The 24,941-nt window shown below is 36.0% G+C and overlaps 1 protein-coding gene and 1 long non-coding RNA gene across 23 annotated transcripts in view, besides 1 other annotated feature; one reads left to right on the top strand and one right to left on the bottom strand.

The window, feature by feature from the left end:
* Positions 1-24,941, bottom strand: part of PMS1 (PMS1 homolog 1, mismatch repair system component) — a 93,180-nt gene that overhangs the window by 10,048 nt on the left and 58,191 nt on the right. For 9 of the 22 annotated variants that reach the window (NM_001321047.2, NM_001321045.2, NM_000534.5 and 6 more), the window contains 5 exons: positions 23,502-23,618; positions 14,805-14,927; positions 13,500-13,643; positions 12,454-13,343; positions 3,354-3,839 (listed from right to left, as the gene is read on the bottom strand). In NM_001321047.2, the coding sequence (NP_001307976.1) occupies positions 3,354-3,839; positions 12,454-13,343; positions 13,500-13,643; positions 14,805-14,927; positions 23,502-23,618 (1,760 nt within the window). The remainder of the gene's footprint in view (positions 1-3,353; positions 3,840-12,453; positions 13,344-13,499; positions 13,644-14,804; positions 14,928-23,501; positions 23,619-24,941) is intronic. The other 13 variants (XM_047444775.1, XM_024452966.2, XM_017004344.2 and 10 more) reach the window with 4 other exon arrangements.
* LOC105373796 (uncharacterized) lies at positions 2,954-15,111 on the top strand. The gene is made up of 3 exons (XR_001739151.2): positions 2,954-3,051; positions 5,404-5,623; positions 14,725-15,111. It is a non-coding gene; the product is annotated as an uncharacterized LOC105373796 (long non-coding RNA).
* Positions 4,227-4,484: a silencer, noted in NCBI's record as "fragment chr2:190727824-190728081 (GRCh37/hg19 assembly coordinates)". NCBI's record gives its function as "represses an EF-1alpha promoter that drives an FKBP-Casp9 reporter gene in an ReSE screen in K562 erythroleukemia cells {active_cell/tissue: K562}" and the evidence as "EXISTENCE:reporter gene assay evidence [ECO:0000049][PMID:32094911]".

Here is a 24,941-nt window from a genome sequence, read left to right as displayed (position 1 = left end):
CTAGAATGTTACAAATTGAATGTGAAATTTTAAAAATGGCTCTCTCTAATACAAATGAAAACTTTATAAATAATTCCATTTTATTCCTTCAAAACAGACACAATAATACACTGTCAAGTTAGGTGGTCCACCCTGCCAAATTTTCAACTGCTATTCAAAGTTTCTTCTGTAACAAAAAGATAAACATGTAATCTCTTTCTTCTAGGAACTAATAAATTAATCAATTTAGAGCTTGGGAGAGCTTCCTTCAGTCTACTGCAGGTCTGGCATGTTTGCCAAAGGTGGTATATGAAATGATTCTGAGTGGTGCAAAAACTTGAGGAAGCCAAAGATCACCTAGGGTACAAATCAACCACACATATTGGTTTTAGGCTTGGTCAGGACGCGTTATAGTCATTGCAAAAAGGTGTCTGTCGGGGTTGATGTGAATAGTTACCATCTTGCCACTCCTTCAATGAATATTTGAGTGCCTACCTTGTGGCAGATATTGTCCTAGGTATGTATGCAAGGCACTGTTCTGTGTTCCAGTACGCTGATATCTTTGCTTATCAGCTCTGAATGGTTGAAGACCCCAATGGCTGTGAGAGCTAATATTATAGAGAAGAGAGCTTTGGCTATATATCACATGTACTCTGTTTCATCTAACCAATATCCTAAAAATCGATCTGAGAGACAGTAGGGATGGTGGTGGTGGTGATGATTATGATACTGTATAGCAATTAATGGTGCAGGCTCCACAGTTAAACTGTCTAGATTGTAATCTTGGACATACAGCTTATTTACTGTCCGTGTGAGCCTAGTTAAGTTATTTAACCATTACATTTCAGTTTCCTCAGCTATAAAATGTGGATATTATCTACCTCATAAAGTTGATGTGAAGATCATGAAAAAACTTTGCCAAATTCCTATCATACAGTAAATGTTCAATAAATATTAGCCATCATTAAGGTTATTGTTATTGAGCCCTTACTTTATAGGTACCTAAATTATTCCACTTAGAGGTAAGTTACACAAACAGCATTAGAACTCTGGCAAGAAAACTGAGCCCAACCTACAATTACCCTGCCCACATTGTCGCATTGTGGGATAAACTAGTCCCTGACTCAGTTTTGAAAAACTTACATCATTAACTGTGATGGGGATGCCACATTCCAAAAGAAGGAGGAAAAACTATTTTGAATTAATCTTTATTCCTGTTTATGCTCAATTAAGAAAGATTTTTTTTTCAGGCCAATATGGTCCCACAATAATAGTTTTTAATGTATTTGTTTTTTGAAGAACAGAACATCACATAGAAAAATATTTTTAAAAACCTATCATTTGAAAAAGCTCAAAAAGATTTTTGAAATTTAAATGAAGTTTACAAAATGCCATTCAGAAAAGCAGTCAAGTCTAAAAATTCAGATGTACCCTAGCTCTTTTAGGTAAGAAAGAGAAAAGCACCATCAGATGTTTAAACTGTTTGAATGTAGCCTAAGACACTATTTTCTAATTGTTCCTCTGACAGTTTCCTAAGCCAATCTCAAGAGAATACTATGAAACATACTGGATTTTGGTTAATGTGGTTGCTGTTTCCTTATTTAAAAAGACAGACTTAACAGATGTTTTTCTGTGTTCTGTCCCTGTTTTTTTCTCCTCCAATGATGGCAGTGTCTTTAACAAGAGTTTTAACACATTTTATAAATGATTTCTGCTTTATTCTTGGAAGTTCTGAAACAGAATTATCTAACGATGTGTCCTAGGGAACAAATTATCTTTTTAAACTTCAGGTTTTTATTATTTTTGTCATGATTCTCTTCTACCTGTGTCTGACTGAAAAAGAAATATTAAGTTAAAAAAGGGAAATGTTAATAGGTTAGTCATTATTTATTTTTTAATCTTTTTTATTTTTGTTTCCCCAGGCTTTGTCATCCAAGGTTATTTATTTTTACAGAAAGCAATTTGCTCATATAGAATAAGAAAAGGAAATACCCTATATTACAACCAATAATAAAATTATTTCAGGCAAAAATCATCAATGATTGGCACCATTGCATGGAAAGGTTGATGGGAAACTTTCCAGTGAAAGACAGGCTGTCATTACCTGAACCTAGTGATAGTGCCTTTTGATGTGATGAAATATGAAGCATATAGCCAACCTATTAAGTAGATTCATCAGAAAATAGAATCTAAATCTATTCAGCCCTCCATGTTTAATTAACCCCCAATTAAACATAGGGGAGAGAAGTTGAACAACATAAGAAAGCAAATACAGACAACAGAACATTCCACTGAACAAATGACTCAGAATCTACAATAATAGAGTGATTTTTAAGATATATAAACAAGATAACCAAATGTAGTATGTGGATCTTGTTTAGATACAAATTAAATATAAATTTTTTAAAAAACTGGAAAAAAAGGTATTTTGAGATAATGAGGAAAAATTCCAAGGAATTATTATTATTTAAGGTATGAAAAAGGTATTGTGTTTAGTTGAGAAAACAGCCATTTTTTGAGAGAGAGATATTGAAAGATATAGGAGGGGGAATTGTTCTAAACTAATTTTGCGAAGGAAAGAAAATGTACGTGTATATACTGTATAGAAAGGTAAAGCAAATGTGGCAAAGTCTTGGATAATTACTGATAAAGGTATGCATCGTATACTTCTATTTTATTATGTGTTTGAAAATGTCAAAACAATGAGTACATAATGGAATAAAGACATGGCAATCTAACTTCAAAATTACCCTAGAGAAGTCACTAATGTACCAGAGAAATGAGCTTCATACTTATTAAATGTAGAAGTGAACTATCTAGAGTATTCTGATACTATTTCTAAACAATTCCATTAAAGATTAGAAATCATATATATATATATATATATATATATATATATATATATATATATATATTTTTTTTTTTTTTTTTTTTTTTTTTTTTTTCTGAGACAGACTCTTGCTCTGTTACCCAGGCTGGAGTGCAATGGCACCGTCTCAGCTCACTGCAACCTCCACCTCCCAGGTTCAAGCGATTCTCCTGCCTCAGCCTCCCAAGTAGCTGGGACTACAGGTGCGTGCCATCACACCCGGCTAACTTTTGTATTTTTAGTAGAGACAGGGTTTCACTATGTTGGCCAGGCTGGTCTCAAACTCCTGACCTCGTGATCCACCCACCTTGGCCTCCCAAAGTGCTGGGATTACAGGCATGAGCCACTGCGCCCGGCCTAGAAATCAAATGTTTAAAAGATTAAAATAAATAAATACCACTAATCCTTACTAGGAAACATTCCCAACCTTCTACCTTCGATTTTAATCTAGTATGAACTATTATAATAAATATTTTTACTCTTAAAAAGTATTGTATCATCATACCTCTCTGTTAACATAATTGGCTTTTCCAGTGGCTCTGCAGGAAGTTTATGATTCTCAAGAAGTCTTTTAAATAGCAGGGCTTCTTCTACTCTATATGGATTTAATAACATTACCTCTGTTTTGGATGTCATTAGCCATGCATCAGGAAACCTGAGATTGTGGATCAAGCAAGGTTCATCCTTCTCTTCTAAGTCAACTTTGTTTTGTTTCTTAAAATTTATTTTTAAGTTTTTCATAGAAAAGGGGATCTGTACCATTTTAATATTTTGACTCCTTCTTTTTTCAATTTGGGACTGAAGGAGTTCATCAAGTTTTGGTTGATTAGATAATGAGGTTTTTAACTTGTGCTTCTGGGCCAAATTCCATGCGCTGGTGGGTTTTATCTTTTTTCTGCCATCTTTTAGTGACATTTGTGACTCCTGTTCAATGGCTCTCTTCATTTGACTATTGTATCGTTCCAAGTCTTTAGTAGCCTTCTCTTCATATCTAAGAATAGAAATAAAATAGAACTAATGAGATCATAATCAGAAATATATTAACCATCTGAAGTAAATTTTATAAAAATAAAGTACTGGTGTTCCAGATATAGTAATGACAAAGGAACATGTATTAGACTAACTCTCCTGCATATAACTATGACAAACACTGAACAAAATATAAAAATCAATTATTGGCCGGGCATAGTGGTGGTTCACACCTGTAATCCCAGCATTTTAGGAGGCTGAGGTTGGCAGATCACCTGAGGTCAGCAGTTCAAGACTAGCCTGGCCAAAATGGCGAAACACTGTCTCTACTAAAAACACAAAAGTTAGCCAGGCATGTTGGTGTGCACTTGTAGTCCCAGCTACTCAGAAGGCTGAGGCATGAGAATTGCTTGAACCCAGGAGGCAGAAGTTGCAATGAGCCGAGATCGTGCCACTGCACTCCAGCCTGGGCGACAGAGCAAGACTCTGTCTCAAAAAAAAAAAAACCAAAAAAAAACACCAAAAAGAAAAAACAACAACAACAAACAAACACACAAACAAACAAACAAAAAACCCTCAATTATTTAAAGTAGGCACTGAAGAACAGCCAAAAGCAGGAAGAAATTAGAATGGATTCACTCCTTGAGGGGTGAAAAAAATAGAGACCCACATTTATAGGACTTTTAACCAGAGGGCAGTCCTCAGTATTAATGGGGAGCAGGGTGGCCAGAACTCAGTCAGAAAGTTGCACTCTTATTAGCCTGAGTCACCAGGACACAGAGCTGTCTGCTTCCAGAACAACTGAAAATTGAGAAAGAAAATCCCAGAAAATTCCATGTGTGGGAACCCAAAGAAAAACAACCATTAGAAGGCTAAATGAGCTGAACAGAGATTTCAGCTGCTGCCCATTGCAGGGAAACAAAGTTTGGAATCTGAATTCCACAGTTTCATGGCCGGGTGAACACTTTGGGCTTTCAGTTAAAACTGGAAGAGGGCCACATCTTAGGATAAAAAACCTACGTCCTAAACTAAGGAAGTTGCCCTGGGTCCAAGAACAAAATTGAAACAGCTTCTCCCTAACAAAATATAAAACAAAACCTCTACAAGCTCAAGGTGATCTGTCAGTAATTTAAATACCTGGTAGAACAAAAATCAGCACTTTTCAGAAGAAGATAACAGAATCCAGAGTTTTAAACATATCACCCACAATGCCTGCTATACAATCAAAAGTTATCACTCTAACAAAACAGGAAAATGAGAGTCATGGTCAAAAGAAAAAGTGGTCAGTAGAAGCCAACCTCAAGATGACCCAGATGTCAAGATTACCAAAAAACCACTTAAAAACAGGTTTAATAAATGTTTAAGGTCTTAAAAGATTATCATAATGAGAAAATAGAAGGGGGAATCTCAACAGATTAGTGGAAATTATAAAAAAAATACAGTGGAAGTTCTAGACCTAAAAAATACAATATCAGAAATTAAATATTCACCGGGTAGGCTTAACAGCAGATAAAAGATGGCAAAAGAAAGGGTCAGTAAAGTTCAAGACAGATCAATAGAAATGATAAAATGTGTTGTTTTTACAGAAAAGTGAAGACAACTGGAAAAGCATTGCAGTGACCTAAGGCAAAACAAACAATCTAATATATATGTCATTGGAGTCCCAGATAAACAATGGAAAACTGGGAAAGAAAATAAAATGTGAAGAAATTAGGGTTGATAATCAGCAAATTTGGAGAAATACAACTTACAGATGCAAGAAGGTCAGCAAACCTCCAAAGAGAATAAATGCAAAGAAATTTACAGGTAGGTATATTAGATATATTTATATCTAATATACAGGTAGGTATATTAGATAAATTTACAGGTAGGTATAATAGGCTGAAAACCAAAGATTAAGATAAAATCCTGAAAATAAAGAGGAAAAAAACAGTACAAATAGGAAACCGCAAAAATAATGGATATTGTAAAGAGCAATGCAGAGCCAGATGACAGTGAAATCTTTTTTTTTTTTTTTGAGACAGAGTCTCTCTGTCTCCCAGGCTGGAGTGCAGTGGCACGATTTCAGCTCACTGCAACCTCTGCCTCCCAGGTTCTAAGCGATTTTCCTGCCTCAGCCTCCAGAGTAGCTGGGATTAGAGGGGTGCACCACCACCCCTGGCTAATTTTGTATTTTTAGTAGAGATGGGGTTTCGCCATGTTGGCCAGGCTGGTCTCAAACTTCTGACTTCAGGTGATCCACCTGCCTTGGCCTCCCAAAGTGCTGGGATTACAGGCATGAGCCACTGCGCCTGGCCAACAGTGAAATCTTTTCAGTGGCAAAAGAACCCAGAATTTGGCTATATCATTAAAAAAAAAAAAAAAGTCCTTCAAAAATGAAGATGAAATAGATGTTTTCAGATTAAGATGAGAATTAGTTGCCAGTATATGTGCACAATTAAGGAAAGTGACACCAAATACAAGTGAAATTATACTTACAGGGTTTTTACATTAACTCCAAGTAGATTATAAGGATGCATAATGTAATCACCAAAGCAAAAACTAATGGAAACTCAATAAAGAAATTAAAATTAGATACTGAAATATATTCTTTTAACCCTAAAGGGCTCCTCTCCCCCCAAAAAGGAGGAACAAAAGAACAAAATAGAGCTAGGACAAACAGAAAACAGGAAAATGGCAGACCTAAACCCAACCATATCAATTATTATATTACATGGACTAAATATTGCAATTCAAAGGCAAAGATTATCAAACTGAATTTAAAAAGTAACAACGAACTTTGTCTACACTTTAAATGTAAAGACGAGGATAGTCTAAAAGACTGAAAAAAAGATATACCATGCAAATAGTAAGCATAAGAAGCCAGAGTTGCAACAGTATATACTCCTCCCTCAGTAACTGACAGAACTAGAGATCCTCCTCCTCAAAAAAAAAAAAAAAAAAAAAAAAAAAAAAAAAAAAAAATTCCTCAAAGATATAGAAGATTTTAGCAATATTATCACCTACTTAAGACTTAACTGACATTTTGGAACACTACCATCTAGCAACTGCAGAATCCTGATTCTTTTTAAGTGAACATGGAACATTTGTCAAGACAGAACATATACTGGGCTTTAATTCTCATTACTTTTCAAAAGATTGAAATCTAACTTAGCATTTTCTCTATCCATGAAACACTTAAATTAGAAATAAAATATCCGGAAAAGCCCCAAATATTTGGAAAGTAAACAACACAATTTTACTCATAATAGCCCCAAACTGGAAACAACCCAAATGTCCATCAACTGGAGACTGATTAAACAAATTTTGGTATATTTATACAACTGAATATTATTCTTTGATTTAAAAAAAAAAACTACTACACATAGATTCAACAACATGGATGAGTCACAAAAATATCTTTGTTGAGCCTAAGAAGCCAGATATGAAAGAGTATACATCACATGATTTTATACACATGTGAAGTTCAAGTACTGGCAAAACCAAACTAGTGTAACAAAACTCAAAAGAGTGGCTGCCTGTGGAGACTGGCTGAGAGGTGGCATGAGGAACCATTCTGGGATGATGGAGATGTTCTCTATTTTGTTTGGGGTGATGTTTATGTGTGTGTACACATGTATGAAAATGCATCAAATTACACCATTAACATCTCTGCAATTCACATTAGGTAAATTTTACCCAGTTAAAAAAACCATTTAAGAAAGTGTGGGGCCACAAACAATCAGAAAAAGAGAGGATGAATAAAGAAATGGATCAATTCCAGATCTGAAGCATTCCTTATATATCTGCTTTAACATCAACATGGAATAAACAATTTCCTGAACAACATTAAGGAAAATTTTTTGTATATAATACTTCATTTGGTAACTGCTAGTGAAATTATAGTCACTACAATAATCACAAAACAGAAAGTATGTGATTAGCTAATTGTTAGTTTTTTTAATTCTCATTTTAGTCATCAATGAAAAGACAAATTTGGATAAATTAAACACACCCAAACCATCTAATTTAACTCAATTTCAAAGGTAGAAGATAATGGATGTTCGAAAAATTATACTGGATAGATTCTAAGAACTCAAGAATAAAAAAAAATTACACTGGGTAGAAAGTTAAGAGATCTTTTTGTCAACAATATGAGAAAAATGAAACTTCCAGGGCCAAAGACCTAGCACAGCGGTTATGTCACCCCTTTTCTTAAAAAGTGATACCTGGATCCCATCCTCAGAGCTTCTAATTCTCTAGGCCTAGGTTGAGATTGGGCAGCTGCTGTCACAGAGCTCCATAGGTGATTCCAGTACATACCCAGAATTGGAAACTACTGTAATTTGTTCAGCAAAGTGTGGTGATTAATAACACAGACTCTGAAGACAGCCTGGCTTGGTTCTGCCATTTAGTAGTTCTGTAAACCTATGAAAATTATTTAATCTTTCTGTGTCTCATGCTCAACTGTAACTTATGGATAATACACATCTACTTCAGTTTTGTTGTGAGAAATAAAATGAGTTAAAGTGTGCCAAGTACTTAGAATATTACTTAGCACAGAGTAAGTGGTGATAAATGTTTTGCTCTCATTATTTTCTACCAAGAAACACAAATCTCACAACAAAGGGGCGAGTAATGGTTGGAAATTAAGTAACTTTGCTAAAAGATTACTTTTTAAGAAAGTTTTAAACTTGGGACTAGAGAATTAAGGTTATTTCTAGTCTCATACTCTTCAAACACTAACTGAATTTCATTATCTGCATATAATAATCTCAAGGAAAAATATGGAATGTGAAGAAATAAAAATATTATTGAGAGAACAGTGCTGTTAAAAGTGAGATTTAAAAGACAGGAGATCACAGCATGGCATGTAGTTTGTGCTCAGTACCTGTCTGCTGAATGAAGAAATGTTACCTGAATAAGAGTGTTAAAAAAAGACCTTATTTCACTGTAAACTACATTAAAAAAATGGCTCCTTTGGTTACTTACCTTGCTATATTCACAATTTTAAAGTTATTTTCTACTTAGAATCTGAGGTTCTGGATTAGCTATACAAAACACATGATTTTCAATAGTTTACTTTCAACAGGTCCTAGAAATAGTATTTTTAGCTCTTAGACATTCAAATTAAAGATTTTTCCTGTGCAGTGGTAAAATGAGTTCAAAACAAAGGTCCCCATTTGTAATTAATTATAATGTGCAAATTTTCACATATGGTACTCATCTTTGGGAAATATAAAAAGTTATGTCCAAAGGAATATTAAGTAAATGTTAAGTAAAAGCAGCTGCTACTGTTGTACTTAATGTCAAGAAGGGATTTAGTAACTTGAATGGAAAATATTAATCCTGATTTGACCAGAAGTCAAGTCAAATAATGTTCTTGCGACTAAACATTGCATTTAGTTATAAAGTTTATCATTTTCATAATACCCTAGTTGCAATTTTTTTTTAGTTTAAATAGCAATATATTCATAACTACTGCAAATGAAAAGTTCAAGCTAACGTCAACTGAGTGAGACCCCAGTGGTAGGGCACATGGCCCAAATCTGGATTTTAATCCACTAGAAGAAAGGCGAGGAAGGAAAAAAACAAAAAACAACAAACAAACTCCAGAAAGGAAGAACTAAAACAATGTCAGTAACTCCCTGACTCCAAAATCTGTCCCAAGCTCTCATCAGAAAACTGAACAATCCTGATCCTACTCCTTATTCAAACTCTTTGTTATAGCTTTGAGAACCTTCCATTATCCATCCCTCACCTTCCCCCAACTTTCTTTACACATACTCCCTCATATTCTGTTCCTGTCATAGAATCTTATTTCCTTAATAACACCATGTTCCTTCTAGCTTCTGGGCCTTCTCATATACTGTTCCTCCAACCTACACAATTCCCTAAAATCCTTCTGGCTAATTTCTATGCAGGGAAGCATTACCTGTCCCACAGATAATATTAAGTCCAACTGCCAAGTTTTCCCCTAATTCCTTATATTTAAAACTTGTATCTTAAAGCTCATCACATTCTTGTTTAACTGAATCTTCCTTACTAGCCTACACCATTCATGAGTTGGGAAAGTATGTTTTATCTGTGACTAGCTAGAGTACCTCAGGCCTTATATGCAGAAAACCCTTAATATTTCCTAGTTGAAAGAAGGGAAGGGAAAGGAGGAATCGAGAGAAGAAGAAAGGAAAAGGAAAAAAGGAAGAAAAAAAGAAGAAGGAAGAAAAGGATGGACTGAAGGTCTATAGAAGAGGCGTCTACTCTCATATCTCTTAATATACCTTAGAGAATTTAGGATCATGGACAGAACTCCAAGATAAAGACAGGAAGAGAAATGGTAGCTAGTACGATTCTTGGGTGTTGTATCATTTTTGCTCTACCTTCTCACTAATCATGATGCAACTAGACTCAGCTGATCATGGTCCCAGGAACCCTGGCTCTGAAAGGTTCTAACACAGCACTCTGTGACATACAATTAGAACTCTGATCCCAAGATACCTATATTTTCTTCATAGGTTTCTATTTCTGGCCTCCAAATTCAATTTAATCTTGACTCAACAAATGAGAAATGTTCTTCTCAACAGAAAAATTCCCTTTCATAGATTAAAAACTGATCATATTGACATTGTGAGCAATCATTTACTATGTGTTAGTAATTGATCTTGTATCATAACACACAATATCTTATTTAATCCTCACAACAATCCATGAGAGACTGTCCACACTTTTAAATACAAAGCTAACAAAGAACTGTGATTAGAATCCAGGTGAAGCTTCAGAGGTCTTGACCATCAAAGCCTCTTTTGTCTACTTTATGGCAATGTGAGAGAAAGTAAGCTTGATTCCAGAATATTACCTGGAATATTCCGGTAATTGATGGTAAATGGATTTTTAGATGAGGCCTATTAATCATAATCCTAGTAACCTGACACCTTGGGACCCACAAGGAGAAACAATGCAGACATTCCCCAAAAAGCAACTGGAATGATACCTGCTGTTGTGAGGCTGCAAAGGAACAGTCAGCAAGATAAGTTTCCATCATAAGCTTGTACACTGTCCCTATTTCCATGAGAACTTGAAACATCTATGGTTTTTTCCTATTCTCAGACAATTCTCAATTCATTTCCCTGGGCAATGCAATTCAACTTTTGTGGGCTTACTGTATTTAAAAGTTAAGTCCCCTCACCTTTAAACTGCATAGTTGTGTCATTTAGGTAAAACTAAAGACAATCACAATTGTGTGAACCTTATTTGCATCATAATTCAAAACAAATCTTTAAAAATCTGACATTTATGAAACAATTATAAATTTGAACACTGAGTATTTGATATATTAAGGAATCTATACCTTTAAAAAAGTTATGACAATTATGGTTATGTTTAAAATATGAATATCTTTATCTCTTAGAGATACATACTGAAATAGATGATATGCCTATGATTTGCTTCAGAATAATAAACAAAGGGAAAGAAAGTGAATGGAAGTATGGATGAAACAGGACTAATAGGGCTGACTATGAGATGATTGGTGGTGAAATGGGGTAATGGCTTTATACTTCAAAATGTCTACTTTTGTGGATATTTCCAAAAGAACAAAATATAATAACCATTCCCACTTAAAAAAAAAAAAAGATGACAAAAAAGGCTGAAGAGAAAAGCTTTATGGAGGCTTTTCATTTTGGTGTTAATAGTGGTCTTTATCATTTTAAATTGATATTGTTTTTATAAGACTGAATAAGCTAAGGAAAGAATGAAAAAAAAAATTGGTCAAGTATCTAGGTAGTTTATCACCAAATATAAACTCCAGATGATGGATTACGTTTAAAATTTTTTCCACACATTTGACATAATATTGAGATACTCAGATACCTGTATATGATTGGAGGTATAATTTCACTCTCATTTTCTGCTGGATTAGATCACCAGAACATAATATTTTGTGTTTATATTAAGTGTCCTAAGTCAATTAAAAACATTCATCATATTATTTTGGAACATTTATTCAGAAAATCTAATTTAAATATGGCAAATACTATTTTAATCAAAGACAGATCAAATCACCTATTTATGTAATAAAAATACCCACTATAGTTTATAAGTTATAATAAATAATACATCTTAGAAGCAAGCCTTAAGTTATACTGAATAGAAACAGTATAAATGAACAACACTAAATTGAATCGCCAATAATACAAATTTTTTTGTGTTGTATTACATATTTTGGAGACCAATTTAAGAAAGGGAATAGTTAAGATATTAAAAACACCAGTTACAACTGTTCCAATGCAAAAGCTTTTTTAAAAAGTTCTACAACAGAAAAGTTATTAAACATAAAACAAAAAAAAAATAGAAGATAAATGGTGGTTTGAAATTGAGAAGATGAATGGAAAACCTTTAGCAAAAAATTTAATAATATCAGAAAGCAGTTAAGGCTTAAACAAAAAAAAAACAAAATAATACAAGCCCCCGCCCCAACAAAAAACCTAAATTAGCAGAAAAAAAAAGTGTTACCAAAAAAGGTACTCTATCCAAGCCAAAGGTATTTTCTGATCTGCTTTTCCATAAATAAGAAGTGAAAAAAATTCTTTTTAAACAGTGAGTCATATAGAATGGAAATAGCTGAACATTCAAGTCACATGCAAGCTCTGGAAACTTACTTCAGTTTTTCCTCTTCACTCAATGTCTTCCACAGTTCTTCAATTTGTAGTGTTGCATCCTCTAAACTAGTCTTAGGATTTTCTATGAGAAACTGAGGACGATGATCTTGAACAAAAAGAGCACTTGCTGACATGGGTTTCTTGATTACTCGATTGCTAAGTAAATCATAAGCTGTAACTTTTCCAGATTTATTATCTATTACATTTGATTTTTTGTTACATGAATCTTCATTAAGATTCATTTGTTCAGGGATTGGATAATTATTATTACTTACTTTACATGGTAAACTTTTTTCAGGCACTAAAATTTTCACAGGTTCAATATTCTCTCCCACTGAATTTTTAAGTATATTTCCCCTGCTCCACTCATCTGCAGAAATTTCCGAAGAGTTTTCAAGACCTGCTTCTTCCTCATTTTCCCCACTCTCATCTATATGGTCTTTATTGCCATTTTCTGACTGGGTGTGCTTAACGGAACTTATAAAACAAGTTTTACTATATTCCGTCTGAGAGTTCTCCCATGATACATTACTCATTGAAATGTCCTGAAATGCATTCTTAGTGTTTTTATCAATGTTAGAAATTTCACTACTACAATGACCATAACCAAAGTCACCAATACTTATCTGGTGATTTAAACAATCATCAGTGTTTTTTCCAGATTCATCATTATGCATATCATTTTGGAATGGAATGACTGAAGTATCAACATTTGAATAATTCTTTCCAGATGATTCCACTTTATTAAAAAGCACATCTGTTTCTGCTGTTTTACTAAGAACGATGTCAGCTGCGGAAACATCTGTTTTATTATTTTCATAAGAATTTGTACTAGGTAATGGTCCATAACAAGTCGTCATCAGATTTTCAAGAGCAATTAAAACAGATTCCTAAAAATACAAATTAACAAATGTTAGGGGAAATTATGAAAATAATAGACAAGATTTTAAATAATAAAAAAGATAAATATAAACAAATCTTTTTATATGAAAACAGTAATATATGTTTATAAATAGCATAAGAAAAAATTATCTGAAAAGAGTTACCTTATTTTGTAATAATACTTGGCTTTTATCTGGTGTTAAATTTACATCAACATCAGCTGTAGGAACATCGATTTTCAGAAAGAAAACAGGATACAAACGAGTAGATTCCTTTAGGCATTTCAGATTGTAATGATGTCGGATTAACTAGAAATACATGTAATAAATAAAAGAAAAAATAATATGTAATTAAAAAGTACAATAAAACCCAGCAAATTCAACTGAGAAATTGAGTAGATGCAACTGCTTATTAGGAAAAGCATTATCATGACCCGGCACAGTGGCTCATGCCTGGGATCCCAGCACTTTGGGAGGCCAAGGTGGGGGGATCACTTGAGGTCAGGAGTTCAAGACCAGCCTGGCCAACATGATGAAACCCCATCTCTACTAAAAAGTACAAAAATTAGCCGGGCATAGTGGCAGGAACATGTAATCCCAGATACTTGGGAGGATGAGGCAGGAGAATTGCTTGAACCTGGGAGATGGAGGTTGCAGTGAGCCGAAATCATGCTACTGCATTCCAGCATGGGCAAAACAACAAGGCTGCATCTCAAAAAAAAAAAAAGAAAAGAAAAGAAAAGAAAAGCATTATCTGTAATACTCCTTTGGAGGCCTTGAACCTAAATGAAGCACAAGCATTCAAAACAAGTACAAACATGCAATAAAACTGGCTTAATAATTAAACATCACAATGTCATGGAAGTTCTGAAGGCTTAGGGTTCAAATCAAAACTCTGGCATGGTGGCTCTGGCTTGTAATCACAGCACTTTGGGAGGCCGAGGTGGGCGGATCACTTGAGGACAGGAGTTCGAGACCAGCCTGGCCAAATGGTGAAACCCCATCTCTACTAAAACTACAAAAAAAATTAGCTGGGCATAGTGGCGGGTGCCTGTAATACCAGCTACTTGTGAGGCTGAGGCAGGCGAATTGCTCAAACCCAGGAGATGGAGGTTGCAGTGAGCCAAGATCACGGGACACGCCATTGCAATCCAGCCTGGAGAGCGAAACTCCATCTCAAAAGAACAAAAACAAAAACAAAAAAAACTACTAACTCTCTAATTTCCTGGCTATGTGGCCTAAGAGAAACATTGAACATTTGTTTCCTCACTATAAATGGGGATGATAATGCAGTCCAGAATTGCCAGGAAGAATAAGAGAGACATCATATGTCTTTCTATCATGCATAATGTTTAATAAATGACATTGTATTTCTTTTTTTTTATTTTAGAGCAAATTCTTGGAAGCAGTCCTTGTTACAATGTGACAAATTTCCAATTCAAATAATTTTTTTTTTCTAAAGCATACTACCTTTAAGATATCTTTTTGATGTACTGGTCGACTGTTTATGAAGATGAAACTTCTTTCTGGTGTTGAAAGACTAGTGAAAGAGTGGTCTGCATCACACTTTGGAAGAAATCCACTGAGATAAATCTATATAATAATTACAGAATATGCAATGTCAACAATGTAGTTCCACGGGTCTGGCTATATATAACACTTTGAAAGGTATAAAAAAATTAAAAAACAGATTTTCATCTTAAGGTCTAAAAAGCCATATACTTCCTGATAATCATGTCTTAAGTATTAACTTTAAATAAAATAGTAAAGCATGCTACACTGGTGCTGTCTGCCTCTTTTTGTTGGCAACTCTAAGGAAAAATTGGCATTTATAAAATCTTCATGAATGGTTATACTTTCAGATATTTAACTGTCATAGGACATAGAGCATTCAATCTATACTCAACCTTTTTTCTGTCTTTTAAAAGTTTCTTTCCTCACATTGTGACTTTTCTCTGGCTGTTTGTCCTTTTGTCTTTAACCATCTTTTCCTATAAAGAAGTTGCTGTTTCTATCTTCATTCTGAGTATGCTATATAAAGCCAATCTTACTGGGTTTTCATTTCTGAGTTAAAAAAAAAAACTCTTTTACTCTGTATTAACTTCCTCAGGGCTAAATACTGATTGCACTGTTGTACTTTAGCTTCATTTTTGTTCAGAAAACTCTTCTATAAAAATTTTACTGAATATTTATATGCTATCTTTCTCTACTTTACAAATGTATAAAGAAGAAAGAGAAAATGAAGAAGGATACTAGAAAAGAATACCAGAGAGAAGAGAAAGATATTGAAGGGATAGGAAGCAGAGAACATGCTCCCACTTTTATCTTTAGTTAATGAACACAGCTAAAGACAACATCCTATACTGTTAAGAATATAAGACAGAGCCAGATTGACAAGGTTTGAATCCCAGTTCTACCACTAGCTATGTGATTTTTGTTAAGTTATTTAAAATATAGGCTTAAAATCTCTTATCAGAAACAACTAGAACTAGATGTGTTATTAATCTGTCAAGGAACACTCATAGTAAAATTTTAGCTTAGGTTGAGAAAAACAAGCAAGTCACTGGGGGTACTATTTTTAGTTAAGCAGGAACCGTGGGGCTCCTTATTAACATAGCCTGTAAGCCACCACCTATGTCTATGGCTATCCCTGCCCTTGGAAATAAGTGTTTAAGGAGATGCATTACCAGTTTTAGAACACTAAGTGCATTATTGTCACAATGCCAAATTGTGCCAATTTGAAAAAATAAATTAATCTGTATAATCCATTATAAAATGATACTACTTAATTAACTGCAAAACTTCACAGCATTTAAAAATGGTTGTATAATTTACCAGGTAACATGAGACCCTTCTTAAAGCACCTGCTGGGCATCAGGGAGAACCTGTTTAGCCTCTGAAAGACTTATTGGGTTTGTGACTTTAAAAAAAGTCTGCCCTGAGAGGATAAGAATAAATAATAAAATGAAGAAGAAATATGTAATATTGCTAGTGATTTCCTTTCACACCACCTTGGTTGGCCACTTAATAATTACTATTCTAGATACTGAGCTTTAAAAATGGTTTAGGATAATCTTAAGAACAAACTATGTTTAAGTTACATGGCAAAGTAAAATAAAACAGTAGACTCATAAAATGCTGTAAAAAGTGAAAATCAGGCCAGTTCATGGAAAAATAACTTGAGACACCAAATCAGTGCAACAAAATTGAAAATTAGATAAGACTTTACAAAATTCTGTACCCAAATGTATTCCTCAATTTCCTAAAAAGCATAACAAAAATTGAAGGCAAAATACAAATACCTCTCCTCCCTAATTGCTTCTCAACTATGGTCCGCCCCTCTCTTCCCTTCATCTCTAATCCCGTATAAGCAGGCTTCTACTTCAATAACCAACTCCAAGGGACACTAAAGGGACACTACGCAGCCCTTCTCTTATTTGACTCCCTGCAGCCCGACACCCTCACAATTCTCTCATCTGGGAAGTGTCTCACTGAATGAATTTGTTTCATCCTTCTCCTTTGGTCTTTCTGCTTCCTCTCTAATGCCTCCTCTTCATTCTGGTTTGCTGGTTTCTCTCCTTTTCCTTATCCCGTATAAATGATGATGGTCCCCAAGTTCCATTATCAGCCCCCTTTTTCCTGCTCTCTAGTTACTCTTCCTAATTTCATTCACACCTATAGTTTCAACAACTACCCATACACCAGTGATGCTAAGATATAGCTGTATAGCTGCTATTTATTTCACTCCCCAGTGCTTACCATCTTCAACTGGCTGTCACAAAAATATTCTCAATCTCACCACATTCAAAACTTGGTAAAATATTTCATCCTACTTCTATCCTGCTAGCTCATCCTATACTCCTTTACTATGATAAGGGCTCTGCCAGCTACCTAGTCTGTTAAACCCATCTCCTCTTCTTAACCCTGATTATATTGATGTAACCCTGGCTGGTCTCCTAACACTAATCCTTCTCCTCTTTCAGTAAACCTCCACAACACCAAGAAGTTACATTTTTACAGTAGTAATTTAAGCACTTTTGTTCAGGACAGTGAAACAAGTTCATGTGAAATCCCCTTCTCTGCCATTCCAACTGCAAATATATAACAGTGATAGATAAAATACAAATTTTCAAAAGGCCACCCACATAAAAGTAGTTAAAGATGTTATGACTGCAAAACATTTAACAGGGAGTGACGGCTAAGGTCAAATGTCCTATGTGGTCTAGGATCAGAAACAAGATGTGTCAGCTGGAAATTAAATTCTGGTACAGAAATAAGGACTGAAAACACCCCATTCAAGACAGGGGACTGAAATCTGTCTTTCCATTTAAAAAAGGGGGCTCATATAGCACCTCTTCTCCAAAAAAAAAAAAAAAAAAAGTTTAAAAATACCGTGGCCACTGTCTGGAGCTGCTTGCCAGAGTCACAAGAAAGAACAGAGACAACTCCAAACCAAGAACAAGGCTGAGCCAAACTGGCTAAGAAAAGGGGCCTGTAAAAGCTTGGCAGGATGAGGCATGCATTACTAATATGATACCTGGTGTCAAATTGGGGCTGGCGAGTGAATTATCTGCCAAACTATGGGAAAGAAGTGGAAGTTGGGGAAAGCAAAAACAAAGCAACAAAAACAATAAACCTGCATTCAAGATGATTTTGAAATTAAATTTTCAAAGCATATGAAATATCAGAGAATTAGATAATTTTGTCTCAAGAAAGCAGAAATGATAGAGCAATATGAAAAGGACTTTGAAATTATTAGTATATGTAACATGCTTCTTAAAAAAGAAAAGTAGCGTACACTTAAAAAAAGGTAAAGAAATTAGAATTGGTAGCTATAAATCAAGTTTAGAAGAGAAGAATATGAAAACAAATAAATTGTAAATCCTAGAAACAAAATATATAGTTTTGAGAATTAAAATCAGGCAATGATGAGGAATTTATTCAGAACTTAGCATAAACTAATGCAGAGATGGAAATTTCAAAGAGAAGACAGATGTCAAAAAGGATAACTTCAGGAGCTCCATCAAGCCCACAAAGTCACGATGGGAAATGCCTCACAAAAGCCACCAGAGCAGTGGCCCTGTTGAGATCACCACCAATAATTAGTTCTTCCCATGTGGGGTCCCTGCAGGAGGAAAAAAAAAAAAGTTACCCTCACATTATGGGAAGAGATATATAAAGATTCTCCACATCCAAGGTTCCTTAATGGCCAATAGCACTGTCATCCCAGACTAGTCAAGAGGCCTTGGTGGCCAAGTTGCACAACTTAAAGGCATATAATGGGGACAGAAGTGAGGTGAGTGAGGACAACCACTAACCAGCAGTGGCAAATAACTTAAGATTGCTTTTGGCCAGGGATGGAGAAAGGGCTCAAAGAAACTGTGATACAGGACCATTCTCCTTCAACCATATAAGCCCAGAAAGAATGGAGTGATAATGGGTAGCTGGTGGCAACATAAATACAACACCTTAGACACACAGTGCAATAACAGAAGAGGGATTTGGTTAGATGATCACTCTCACCAGAGAGACACTCAAAAGTTTATCATTCTGACAGCCCATGGAACTGGAACATTAACACATGCTTACCAAATTCCCTCAATCCACCATGAAAAAAAAACCACATAGAGGTGCAGCAAAAATTCTCATATCTATGATGGATTACTAGGACTCTTTATGCAATTCTATCTGTGCTTGCCCATTGAAAATAAAAATTCAATGGGTAAGCACAGATCTGGCAACACATCTCAAAACAGATGGGAGGAAAAGATTTCCAAGTACAGGACTGATTCATGCAATAGTCTCGTTCACTCATGAAATCATAGCTGACCAAAGTCTAGATCAGTGCTTTTCACACTTGAATGTGCACCTGGGGACCTTGTTAAAATGCAGATTCTGATTCAGTCGATCTGGGATGAAGCCCAGGATTCTTTATTTTCAATAAGCTTCCAGGTGATGCCAACACTGCTAGTCTTCAGACTAAATTATGATAGCTAGAATATCCAGGGCATGATGGTAAAGGTATCAAGTCTAGATCTCCTGCCATAAGCTGCCTGGGTTACCACTGTAGGCAACAAAGTACCACGAAGCTACGAGGAATCCAGCAGAATTCAGACAGTACCCTTGCCATCCCAAGTCAGCGACCGTAACCAGTTTGAAGTAGCACTGGAGTGTGTCAAAACTAGAAAACAACTCTTCAGGGAGCTCTGAAAAATAGGACCCATGTCACATCATGGCTAACACTGTAGCTGGCCACTAAGGTTGGCCTGAATTTTCCCCCGGCCAAGAAAATCCCAAGCATTACCTGAGTACAAGCTTCCATCCAAGATTTTAATAAAATGATAAGCAATATTAAGAACTCAATACTACAAAGAGAATGGGAAGGGACATAGTAGCAGAGGAGGTTTCAACAAATTATGAAAAAAAATGGAAGAGAAGAAAAGAAGCCAACTGCTTAGCACAACTCCAGGAACAGAATTAGGACCTTAATTACTCAACACTCAAGTGGAACCTGACAGTGAATAAGCCCAGCCACAAACACCCTGTTCCCAATTAGATTTCCTATTCATGGAGAAAGACAAGAGAATTAGAGGACTGGAGGAAAAAGACCTGACAAGTAAAACAAAACTGACCTCCTAATAAACAGAAATTATTAAAGGAACAAATAATTTAAAAACAAAAACAATTATCTTTAGAGAGACCCAAGTTTTGTATCCATAAAACAGTATGTATAAAAAAGCAATAAAAAATACTCTTGGAAATTAAACATAATTAAAAAAAAATCCATAGACAGTTTAAAAATCAGATCTCTCAAAACTTATGGAAAAAATTAAAGACGGGAAACCTGAGAAAAAACAATAGGAGAAAATTAACAGGAGGTCTTAATAACAATAGGGAGGTTCATAAAAAATAGAAATTATCGAAGTGATAATGGATGGAAGTATATAACCTGGGGCTGAGAAAGAAATGACCCTTCAGATTCAAAAGATCCACATCAAATGCTCAGCACAATAAACAAATAATAAAAGACACACACTTAGACACATCCTTGTAAGGATAAAGGACAGATCCTAAGAACTTTCAAATAGAAGAAAACATATCATCTAGAAAAAAAGAAATGGGCGCTTTGGGGGGCCGAGGCGGGTGGATCATGAGGTCAGGAGTTCAAGACCAGCCTGTTCAACATGGTGAAACCCCATCTCTATTAAAAATACAAAAATTAGTCGGATGTGGTGGTGCGCACCTGCAATCCCAGCTACTCAGGAGGCTGAGGTAGGAGAATCACTTGAACCCGGGGGGCAGAGGTTTCAGTGAGCCGAGATTGCACCACTGCACTTCAGCCTGGGTGACAGAGCAAGAGACTGTCTCAGAAAAAAAAAAAAAAGAAAAAAAAGAAGTGGAATGTATTGTTTCCCATTAGCAAAAATGGATAGTAAAAAAATACTCAAGACCTCAAAAATTAATTTCAATCTAAAAGTCTATGTCTGCCAGACTATCAACAAGCGAAAGTGCAAGATGAAATCATTCTCAGGCATGAAAATTTGGACTTATTTTTTACATTTGTTTGTTTTGAGACACGGTCTCTTTCTGGCCGAGGCTGGAGTGCAGTGGCATGATCATAGCTCACTGTAACCTTTAACTTTTGGGCTCAAGGGATCCTCCCACCTCAGCCTCCCAAGTAGCTGGGACTACAGGCACGTACTACCATGCTTGACTAGTTTGTTTTTTTTTTTTGAGACGGAGTCTTGCTCTGTTGCCCAGGCTGGAGTGCAGTGGCAAGATCTGGGCTCAATGCAACCTCTGCCTCCTGGGTTCAAAAGCAATTCTCCTGCCTCAGCCTCCCAAGTAGCTGGGATTACAGGCACCTGCCACCATACCCGGCTAATTTCTGTATTTTTAGTAGAGATGGGGTTTTGCCATGTTGGCCAGGCTGCTCTCAAACTCCTGATCTCAGATGATCCACCCGCCTTGGCTTCCCAAAGTGCTGGGATTACAGGTGTGAGCCACCACACCGGGCCAATTTTTGCATTTTTATTTTTAGAGACAGGGTCTTACTATGTTGCCCAGGCTGGTCTTGAGCTTCTGGCCCCAAGTGCCTCAGCCTCCCAAAGTGTTGAGACAGGTGTGACCCACCACGCCCAGCCACAGACATGAAAAATTACCTCTCATGTCCCCTCTTTCTGTGGAAGTTACTTAAAGATATGCCTCAGAAAAATGAGCATGGGGCCAGATGCAGTGGCTCACGCCTGTAATCCTAGCACTTTGGGAGGCCGGGGTGGGCAGATCACTTGAGGTCAGGAGTTTGAGACCAGCCCGGCCAACATGGTAAGACCCCATCTCTATTAAAAATACAAAAATTAGCCGGGTGTTGTGGCTGTAGTCCCAGCTACTCAGGAGGCTGAGGCAGGAGAATCATTTGAACCTCGGAAGCAGAAGTTGCAGTGTGCAAAAACTGCGCTACTGCACTTCAGCCTGGGTGATAAAGCGAGACTCCATCTCAAAAAGAAAAAAAAGAAAAATGAGTATAAGTGCCAAGAAAGAGGAAGGCATGACATACCAGTAATAATGCAACCAACCATCATTCCTATAAAAAGATATCTGAAGATGAGAGTTGTGCAGAAGGCCTAAGATATGATCCAAATAAGAAATAAGTGGGGTCTAAGAACAATGACTTCAAAAAGACGTAATGAACTGGATTACCAACTACAGTTAGGATGACTAAGAGTTGGATTTTATTGCTAACATGATGAAGAAAACTTTTTCATTAAAAAAAAACTTTTGAAAATCCCAGAAAAAGCGAAAAACTACATAAGATAGTCCATTTATTAAGCAAAGAAAAACATGATAAATTTTGAGCAACTGATGGGAGTACAAGAACAGAGATTCCATTTAATCAGGGCTCTAGGAATATTCTCATTTGCATGGCATAAGAGATACAACAATGGATCTTTAGAGGTAAAATGTAATCCCACTACAATACTGGGCTTTTAACGAAGATTGTTTTATAGTCCATACAAGTTTTCAACTTTTAGAATCAATCTTCAGACAAAAGATAGAAGACTTAAAAAATGGCTACATAAGAAATTATGAGGCTGGGCGTGGTGGCTCACGCCTATAATCCCAGCACTTTGGGAGGCTGAGGCAGGCAGATCACCTGAGGTCAGAGGATCGAGACCAGCCTGGGCAACATAGTGAAATGATGTCTCCACTAAAAATACAAAAATTAGCTGGGTGTGGTGGCATACCCCTGTAATTCTAGCTACTAGGGAGGCTGAGGCATGAGAATCACTTGAACCCAGGAGATGGAGGCTGTAGTGGGCTGAGATCCCACCACTGCACTCCAGCCTGGGTGACAGAGTGAGACTCTGTCTCAAAAAAAAAGAAAGAAGAAAAAAATTATATATATAATTAAGCTTGAAAATATAAAACTATTGCTGATATGACTGAAAGAGGAAGGAGTAAGAAGAAAAGTTTGAGTTAAGAACGTCATCCAGTATTAGGGAGTAAAAAAGTACTATCTAAACTGATAGATCAAGAAAAAGTTTTAAGTACATATTTGGAATGGGAAAGGTGGGGGAAAACAGTTTTTTTTTTTTTTTTTTTTGAGATGGAATCTCACTCTGTCACCCAGGCTGGAGTGCAGTGGTGCAATCTCGGCTCACTGCAACCTCTGCCTCCTGGATTCAAGTGATTATCCTGCCTTAGCCTCCCGAGTAGCTGGGATTACAGGCATGTGCCACCACACCTGGCTAATTTTTGTATTTTTAGTAGAGACAGGGTTTCACCATGTTGGCCAGGCTGGTCTTGAAGTCCTGACCTCACGTCATCTGCCTGCCCCGGACTTCCAAAGTGCTGGAATTACAGGCATGAGTCACCATGCCCAGCCAACTATTTTTCTTTTATAGTAGAAAGTAAACAGAAAAGATTCTAAATTGAACATAATTTTTTTGAAAATCAATGTAAGCAACAAACAGAAAAGATAAAAAGGGAAGCAGGGCTGGGGAAAGAGGTTTAACATAAGCTCTGTATTGACTGTTTTACCTTACACACATATTTGATTAAAATATTAAAAGACTAACCTCTTGCCACTGTAACTCCCCCAAAGGGAAATATGTGAACAGCTTCATGAGTAAATCAGAATTATCTGAGAATGTTTTTGCAGTATACCTGAGATTCTTCAGAGTGGTACTGAAAGGATTCCATATTGTTCATAACAGCAGTCCCCAGAACTGACATGAGAGCCATCTTGTGATCTGATACTCTGCTTTTCTGCCAAATAACTGCCTAGGGACAAAAATGATATAGATAACTTTTAATACAATTTAGATTTACTAAACTCAAGAAGTCAGTATTTTATTCCTATATTTTGCATTCATCCTCAGCTTAAAATTTCAGTATCACTTAGAAGAGATTCATGAGCTATGAGGTCTGACAGAAGAAACTCTGGTTCTGAATTTTAAAAGCTGTATATGTTGCAGTGTACCATCTATTTAACTTCCCTTTACCTTGGTTTTCTCCTCTTTACAAGATTTCTCAGAGTTGTTGGAAGATAAAAATCCATATGGAGACAAGCACATATGCCTGTGCCTGGCATAAAACAGTTTCACTAAATATCGATTCTCTCTCCACCTCCAATCCTCACATTCAAAACATAGACTTCCGTGTATATTTAAAAACAAATTGCTGCTTCAAGTAAGGTATTACTGTTTTACTGAGGATGATCAGCTATGTTACAGGATTTACATAAACAGTCAAACAGGTATAAAAATTTCGGAAAGAGCATTCTTAATTAAATCATAATTTAAAATTACCTTTGTACCTTTGAAATAGAGAATTCACAAAATGTTAACTGAATCTGTAAACATAAAAGCTGAATAATGAGGCTGGATTTTTTCACTGCGAGTATGTTGGAGATGAGAGAGAAACAATAGGTTGTTTGCAGTGACTCACACCTGTAATCCCAGCACTGTGGGAGGCTGAGGCAGGCGGATCACTTGAGGTCAGGAGTTCGAGACCAGCCTAGCCAATATGGTGAAACCCTGTCTCTACTAAAAATACAAAAATCAGCTGTGTGTGGTGGCATGCCCCTATAATCCCAGCTACTTGGGAGGCTGAGGCAGGAGAATCATTTGAACTGGGGAGGCGGAGGTTGCAGTGAGGCGAGAACACGCCACTGCACTCCAGCCTGGGTGACAGAGCGTGACTCTGTCTTAAAAAAAGAAAATAAGAAAAAAATATATATATACACACACACATATATGTGTGTGTGTATATATATATATATAAATACTTTGTATCTGCAAAATGTGAGCCCTTTTAAATTATCAGGCCCAGAGAGGCATTAAAATGATAGTAATTTCCCCCCTTGAGCTAAGTATTTATTGAAAACTGCTTGCTATTGCCACAAGTAGCCACTGACCTAACAATGCCACACACCAGACACCATAATCCATGCCCTATAGCTCAATGATGTATAGCTAATTACTAATCAAAATTCCTGACAAACAACTCTATCAACTCACTCTTTGTCTCCCTTTTTGCTTTTAAAAACCTGCTTGTAACAGAAGCCTAATGGAGCACTCCCCAAAGTAATTTGGAAGTGTGTCT

The sequence above is a fragment of the Homo sapiens genome, chromosome 2 (assembly GCF_000001405.40).
Source record: "Homo sapiens chromosome 2, GRCh38.p14 Primary Assembly".
NCBI classification, from domain to species: Eukaryota; Metazoa; Chordata; class Mammalia; order Primates; family Hominidae; genus Homo; species Homo sapiens.
The sequence above is the reverse complement of the archived record's forward strand: the minus strand, read 5'-3'. Positions and strand labels throughout refer to the sequence as shown.